The 8,422-nt window shown below is 40.1% G+C and overlaps 1 annotated feature.

Moving 5' to 3' along the window:
• Positions 4,784-5,352: an enhancer, noted in NCBI's record as "NANOG hESC enhancer chr14:86342091-86342659 (GRCh37/hg19 assembly coordinates)". NCBI's record gives its function as "activates a minimal SCP1, AML or CMV promoter by ChIP-STARR-seq in naive H9 embryonic stem cells {active_cell/tissue: H9 hESC(naive)}" and the evidence as "EXISTENCE:reporter gene assay evidence [ECO:0000049][PMID:30033119]".

Genomic DNA, 8,422 nt, shown 5'->3' with positions numbered 1-8,422 from the left:
CCCTGAGAGGTGCAGGGATGACACACTCATGAGCTCCATGCAGTGTATGAATAGCATTGTGGCCACTTATGATTATTCACTCATTCATTCACCAAACATTTTCAACACTCTCTCTGTGCCAGGTGTTGCAAAAAGACACTGGGAACACAGCAATGAATAAGACAGATCCAATCTTCAGGGGCCTCTAATATCTAGCAGCACTCATCTACTCAATCCTGAGGAAGAAGACATTCACTTCCAGCTTTATCCACTGAACATTATGTAACTTTTCTGTTGTTTACAGAAAGATTGAGAACTGGAAATTCCCACCAACTGGCATTTGCTCTGTACTTATTAAAGCAAAGTGTTACGTTAGGTGCTTTATAGTATGTAAAGATGGTTATGATTCCCTGGGTGCATAATACGGTGAGAGAAAACATAGGGAGACACATGTACAGAGTGTGATGAGGAGAAAGTCCATCCTTTTCAGAGTGCCTCCCAAAGGAACAGGGATTAGATGGAACCCTTGTACAACTGTGTAGAGGGAGTTATGGTGAGACCATATATTAGGTCCTTTGTGAAGAAAGAGTAACTAGAGGAAAATGCACATTAAGGACTAATGGATTAAGGGAAGTTATAGAATATGATAAAATATAGAGCAAATCCAGATAGACTCTTACCATCCTATCCTGTAACTTCTCTGATCTTTCATGAAACTCCTCTTTGAACTCCCTCCTCCAGCCTCAGGAGTTAAATCAACAATCCCTAATATGCATTTTACTCTAGCTACTTTTGAGAATATTCTCTTCAACTTTAAAAATTGTCCTCATCATTCAGGGTTTTTCCAAAGCCTGGCCTACTCCACTGAGCCTTCCCCAACTACTGAACCAATATTACTATCTTTCTTTCTAGAATACATGTGATCCCCTTTGCTTCCTGAAACAATCATATACATACAGTTATATATACCGAATGCTTATTGGCTTGAGTTTTCTCTCTCCAGATGTTAAGTTACTTGAAGGAAGTCTTCCCATTGTTATATCTTCCATGATGCTGAGCAAGGCATGTAACGAGAACTATATTAACACTTATTGCTTTGACCAGACAACATATCTTAGAGCTGTACAATTTCCTTTCAAATCCTCATCAGCAATTCATTGTCTTACACTCTTAAGAGTCTTAATTAAATTTCTTCTTTCCTAGTATTTATTAACTACTCCTATGTACATATGCCAACTAGTCCAAAAGAGAAAGGAAACTACATAACTTTTATTTCTAGGGATGTGACTCAAGATTGTTCCAAGCCTAACCCAAGCCTCAGTTCTCAGTTTCATCAAGAAACATGCTTGGTTTCTTGATCCAATAAATTCACTGCACATTCTCCTATTCTTTGAAATAACTGAAATGGTGCAGTTTATCTGCAGAAGGCTTCTTCATTGAAGAAAATAAATGCATTCACCAGTAATTTTTCATTTCTGCAGTGTAACTATTTGAAATTTCAAGAACAATTCTACTGTTCAGCATCCCTAAATATCCCAACTACAAAATCCATACTTTAAAATACTAGTAAAAAATCACCCAGCTATCAAAGCGGGCACAAATTTTGAAGAAACACTAAGCATTTCCATTCTATGCACACTGCCCATTATATTTCTTTGAAAGCAGAAAAAAATATGATTTTTTCTCTTACCACCAAAATGCATTTGCAAATTGGCTTTAGAAAATGTTTAAATAATTATTCGATAGTGTGAATTTACAGAGACTCCAACACTGTTTTTCCCTGACAGATTGACAGTGCATTATAAATTCCAACAATTTATATTTTAAGGCCCCAGCTTCCTATGTCTGCCAACCATGTCCCAGGCTTGAGAAATTATGGTCGTTTAATCAGGGTTGAGCGTTTCCATGCTCAACCTTCAAGCAGTGATGCTGTGCCATGTTTTCACCAGTGATAGATGAATCCACTTACACTACCGCCTCCTGCGTGACAGTACTTTAGAAGTCCTGCTAAAGTTCACATTTCTCAATATATCAAAGTTTAGCAGCACAATGACCTTCTGATATTTGTTTTCAACAGTTTATAACCAACAGTTCGTTACTTTCCCAAAACGAAGCGGAAGAGAGCCAGTAGATGCTCACTCTAGCAGAGCAGGTGCCACAGCATATTCCAAGTCTGGAAATTGATTGCAGGGAATTCTGTAAAGAAAAGTCTAGGACAGTGTTAACCTCTTAAGCCACTAATGCCAGGAGAGCCAAAGAGTCAGAATTACAACCTTCTTATCTGTCTTTTACTGTATTGCTGAAAGGATGTATGAATCCTTTTCACGGCATTTTCTCGACATATAGTTAGTTATTTCTGTTGGACATTGTCACTCAGCCACCTCCCTTGGTCACAGCCATTTAATCGAAAACCTTCTAGGATAATCCAGAGATCTCAGCAGGGAAAACATATTTTCCTTTTACTTGGATTTGAACTCTAATAATATTTGGGCTTTCTCACTCTGATGAATGGCATGGGATTATATATGAGTCCAATAAGATTCTTTTTGCCACTCAAGCTAGAACTATAAAAATAATACCAAGTGGTTTTTGTTTTGTGTTTGTTTGTTTGTTTGTTTGTTTAACTCAATATCCTAATTTGTCTCCAGGGTCTCAACTTTTTTCTTTTTTTGAGACAGGGTCTCGCTCTGTCAACCAGGCTGGAGTGCAGTGGCACGATCATAGCTTACTGCAGCCTCGAAATCCTAGGCCCCAGTGATCCTCCCTCCTCATCCTCCCCAGTTATGGGGACTGCAGGCATGCACCACCACACCAGCTAATTTAAATTTTTTTCTTTTTAGTAGAGATGAGGCATCACTCTGTTGCTCATGCTAGTCTTGAACTCTTGGGCTCAAGCATTCCTCTTGCCTCAGCCTCCCAAAGCACTGGGATTACAGATGTGAGCCGCCACAACCAGCTTCAACATTCTAATGTAGAAAAGAAGCCCAATTAGGTATATCTACATAAATTAATAGTCACTAGCATTCATGTGGCAGCCACTACGCCCTCTTTCATTTAATTCACTCAATTTATCAAGGAAGTAGCTGGTGTTATCACCTTCATTTCACAGAGGAGGAGGCTGAAAAGGAAGCATCTGAGCTTGCCTGTTCTCCATGCTGTCAGAAAGTCACGGATGTGACTCATCTGCTGGGTAGCAGAACCTGTCTCTTGACCACTACCTTACACTGAGTATTTTTCACCAAGATTTAGCAGGAGAGGCACCTTAACCATCCACAGAATTCTTTCCTACCCCAGAGTTCACTCTGAGCCTGACAGCCTCAGAATGTATGTTTTTATTTTCCGGAAATGTGATCCCAAACAGGACCTAGCCCCACATCTGTCTTATAACACCAAGTATATGAAAGGAAAATGAGGGCAAGCACACCCAGAAATCCCTCCAAAGACATTTTGTGCAGAAGAACTGACTTTTTGCCCATTTATTTCTTTTCAGGAAACAGGGATTAATTGTGTCTGCCCAGTATGGCATGAAGGTTTCATCACCTGTGGTAACTCCAGTTGATTGAAGGTGGTTACATGAAGAGATATGTTGGAACAAATTGTGAGACACTGTTAGGGCTCTGCTGGCAAGTGTGGTTACCTATGAGTAATGACTACTATGGGTGCTGAAGGTGTGAGGGAAGGTGCAAGTGCTTAGGTATTTGCTGTCTATATCTTAAGTCTTCGGCATATAATTACCACGTGTCCTTGGGAAGAAGGGAGGTCTCAAAATCATCCCTGGATAATTTCTTTGGTTTTTCGCCTCTTTCCATCATTTAGTCTTTCTTTATCCCTTTCTGATATCTACTGTACATTTAATTAAGCTTAGCAGTATAGAGATAGAAAACAGGCTGCAAATATTATCCCCATACCTAACCAAGACTCTCATTTAAATCACTGGCAATGTAATTCTTGCTTGCCCCACACCATTGATTTGCATATTTTGGTGGGTAAAACAATCACCTGAGGACATGGTTTCAAATATAAGCTCTGGCTTTTACTCCCAAGAGATTCAGATTAGAAATAGATGCATTTGATCTGTATCTTAACTGAGATACATTTGATCAGTTTCAACTGAGATACATTTTGAAACTGATCTGCATTTAAAAGGCACTCTGAGTATCTGTGAGGCAGAAGACTTTGGACCATAATTTGAGCAACACTACCCTAAACTCAGATAAATTGCTCTTTTTACCCAGGAGCTGGGACAGGATTTAATATGAGCCACAGCGTCAGTCCTTCTGTCTACCTCCAGGGGAACTAGTACTCTTTTTTTTTTTTTTTTTTTTTTTTTTGAGACGGAGTCTCGCTCTGTCGCCCAGGCTGGAGTGCAGTGGCGCGATCTCGGCTCACTGCAAGCTCCGCCTCCCAGGTTCACGCCATTCTCCTGCCTCAGCCTCCCGAGTAGCTGGGACTACAGGCGCCCGCTACCACGCCCGGCTAATTTTTTTGTATTTTTTGTAGAGACGGGGTTTCACCGTGTTAGCCAGGATGGTCTCGATCTCCTGACCTCGTGATCCGCCCGCCTCGGCCTCCCAAAGTGCTGGGATTACAGGCGTGAGCCACCGCGCCCGGCCGGAACTAGTACTCTTGCAAGAAAATCACTGGGAGATGATTTAGGAGGAGGAGCACAACTTTAGGTTTGAATATGAAATTGGAACAAGTGTACTCATAGGCTCAGCATTCACTCTCTTATCCCAGTCCCCTCCTGCTTTTTGGCTTATTCTCTTTATTATTCATGCACAAGATGTTCCCTCTCTTTTCACTCTCACAGAATCATGCATTGTTTTGAGGTTGAAATTGTCTTTCTTATCTTTGTATTCCTTACAGTAAACACACATAATAAGGATTCAACAATATTTTTCAAAGGAAATAAAACATCAAGCCCAGGGGCCACTGATTTAATTGCTCTCTTGAGCAAGTCCATTCATGGCTCTAAATGTCTATTTACTATGGTTATTCATGATGTTGATGAATGTCTCAGCAACTACCATTAACTGAGCACTTCTACTCGATGCAGACTATTGTGTTGTGCTGAGTTTTACCTTCATTCTTCGTTTCACTTAGTCCTCATAACAATCCTTAGAGGGTGTCAACAGAGGCAACAAAAGGAAAGTGGGCAAACCTTTAATATGCAAGGTCTCTTCTCATTATGCAGAGAACAATGGCCACTGAACCTACATCCAATCAAACCAAGTCTGCTCGAGCTGCAGAAGTGCAAATCCTTGGTCCCTAGACATTAATCATTTCCATACATGAATGAGAAGCTTGTGGGGATAGGTAGTTTTATTTATAAGCCAACACATACTCACTCCCGCTCCCTCCATACATACACATAAGCTTCAGCCTTTTTAAGACACAAGGGTGTCTTTCAGTTTACCTACTTTTTTAGACCTGTGTGGATATAAGGATTACAGGTTTCCTGCCTGTCCAGGAAGAGTGATCACTTTGCTCTCTAAGAACTTAACTCCCAGGCTTAATTATTATGCGAGTGTGCAAGTGTATTAAGCATGTAGGCCAAAAGCAATTTAAAGTCTATGCTGCATTGACTTTCAAATTATTTCATTTCTAATTCAGATGCATGCTTTGTTAAGGCATTTATCACTGTTATATCATCAGCCAGATTGTTCCATGACTACAGTCCCTCAAAACCTCTATCCCCACCGGGTCCACATCAGGAGCACTAAATGACATCCCCTACCCTCGTACGTTGAGTCAAGCTTGGAGTCTCCTCCCCAAGTGCCTCACTTCATCTTTCGATGTATCTCCCACTGGTGGAAAATGTATCAAACACTGCATATCTCATCAGCAAGACCATTTGTTTCTCCTTACTAAGGCATTGTGGTGCTCCTAGAAAGGTGGACACAGTTTCACGCCCGCACTCAGAATTCCTTGAAACTAGTCAAATGACTTTCATCAGTAAATCAGATATTACTTCCTTGAATATGTTGGATTCTTAGAAAAATTAATGAATACAAAGATTCTATAGTCTTGGAACGTGAGGAATTAACAGATAACCAAAGCATCTTAAAGCCATACCTAATGTCAGTAATCTATCCCTTGTAAACGTAAATCTAACGATGTCTATACTAACAGCTTCTAAAGGACCAATAGTCCTTCCCCATCCAGACCTCTTAACCTCAATGAAGACTATTCCCACCATACATGCCACATATTAAACCTGTATCTGGGAGGAGGAGAGAGTTTCTGGGATATGGAGAAAGACAATATTTTTGCTGTTCCTTTGTCCTTAACATTTTTATTTTGTCTTGATATTTTTACTTATTCCATGATTTTGCAGCTAAAGAATGGAGTCGGAGATGGAGCAGAGAGAATATTTGGAAAATAACTAAAATTAGCAGGTATCCCGATGGAAAATATCATAGATTTGTGACAAAAGATGTGTGTCAGTGGGACTCAAGAAAACCTACAGACCCCTTACTATTAAAAATGGAACAGTAATCCCTGAATATCAGGGTTTTCTTGAGGATTAACTATAATAATAACATAACGGTGTTTGGTAAAGCTGGAAAGTAGCATATTCATTATTATGGATAACATTTTAAAAGGTTTAATGCTGAAATAAGCAACTCGATCTCCGAAAATTTTAATCTGGTTTTATCAGATCCTTTAAGCAAAAACAATGTTAAAATAAAATGTAATTTTGGCTTAAGGGGAAGATTTCCAACTATGGTGTGTTTGTGTGTGTGTGTGTGTGTGTGTGTGTATACTGGTATAAATCAATGAACATTCATTCTAGATTTCAATAATTTTACTAAAGAGAATAATGTTTGCTTTTGTTATTTGACAAGGGAGGTGGCATCGTAAATACTTCATTATGTTGCATTTTCTCATCAGTCTCTTTCTCATCCCAGCAGATGCAAACTGTGCACTTACAGTCAGTAGCAGAATAAAAAATCTGGGCTTTTGGTACTGATTTGGTATGACCTTCTTCTTTCTCATTTTGAAACCTCTTACTGCTGCCAGAGAAACCAACAACACTCTTTGCACTATGTTACACTCAAGGTAGCTGAAAAACTTCATCAATAAGTATCCTGAGGTTTAAGCCAACCAATAAAATTAAAGAAAAGAAAGTCATTACAGTAGGATGTGTGATTTAGGGCCAACATGAAAAGCAACGAAGAGAACTCTGTATGTCACTAATGGAAACTTGGCCAGTTCCTACCTACTAATAAATAATGTGCTGTTAAGCTGAGAGCTAAATATTTGGGTGAGGATTTGGAGATTCCAGAAATCCTGAAACTAATTAAGACATAAATATGAGGATCCTGAAAAGTTCAAGGATAGATTAGGGGGAATGAATGCACCAGCAAGATGACCTCACTCTCCAGCAAACAGGCTCAGGTGAGGTAGGACATTGAAATGGAACTGGGTCCCTGGAGGACATGAAGGAAGCTGAAACAGAGTGTGTGGGATCTAAGAAGGAAAAATTTGTATTTTTGTGTACTTTTGGTTTTCGATCCTTATACTGATCTACTTGTATCAAGAGGAATAGAATAAGTCAAGTTGATATGAGAAAAAAGAAAAGTGATTTTCAAGGGCTTTGGAGGGGGTGGGGGTACACAATGGTGCAATCGTTTCTGGCCACTCCTGAGCCAGCAAATGAGAAAAGAATCCTCAGGAGTGTTAATAGCGCCTGGAGTGCTGTGTGTGGAGGATGAGTGGGCTCAAGCTCAGAGATTTGCTTTTGTGTTTCATCTGAAACCAATCAGTAAGCGAAAAAGCAGAAAGCTCTTTTGGCATCTATTCCACCATTGACACTGGGAGAAGGAAAGAGGATTTATACATAGAGACCCCCATTAACACTAATGAAAAGTAGGCGGGTAAATCCCATGTGTACGAGGAGCAAACACTGTCCTTTGTGTGGGGGTAATTAAGAGCTAAAGAGAGCTTACAGTTGCTCACCACTGCACACATGCTCCTGGTGAAAGCTCCTTCACAGCAGTGTTGCAGTGGCTTTCTTTAGTTTCAATGGTTGCAGCCTAACAGTTGTTAACCATCTCTCGCCCTCGTTCCCCCATAAAGGAGTGAAAGGGAACGATGTATTGGAAATGACAGTATTTGACACTATTGGCAAAGGGGCTTTCAAGGAAAACGTACAAGCAAAGAAAGGAGACATTCAAAACGAACCTAAATTTAAGCAGAAGAGAATAATAAGTGGCTCAAGGGAAATAACCCTATACTCATAACATCCTTGCCAGCACCCAATCCTTTGGAACTGTGGCAGGAAGAGGAGCCATGTGTAAACCAAGAATATGGAATACTAGCAAGCACCACGTCTAAGGTCCAAAGCCATAAATATGGCAAGAAGATGCTCCAGTGATGGCAGGAATGGAGAAGAAAAGGTGAGAGCTAGGACATCATTCCATTTTTACTCTGCAGACCA

Source organism: Homo sapiens, chromosome 14 (assembly GCF_000001405.40).
Source record: "Homo sapiens chromosome 14, GRCh38.p14 Primary Assembly".
NCBI lineage: Eukaryota > Metazoa > Chordata > Mammalia > Primates > Hominidae > Homo > Homo sapiens.
The sequence above is the reverse complement of the archived record's forward strand: the minus strand, read 5'-3'. Positions and strand labels throughout refer to the sequence as shown.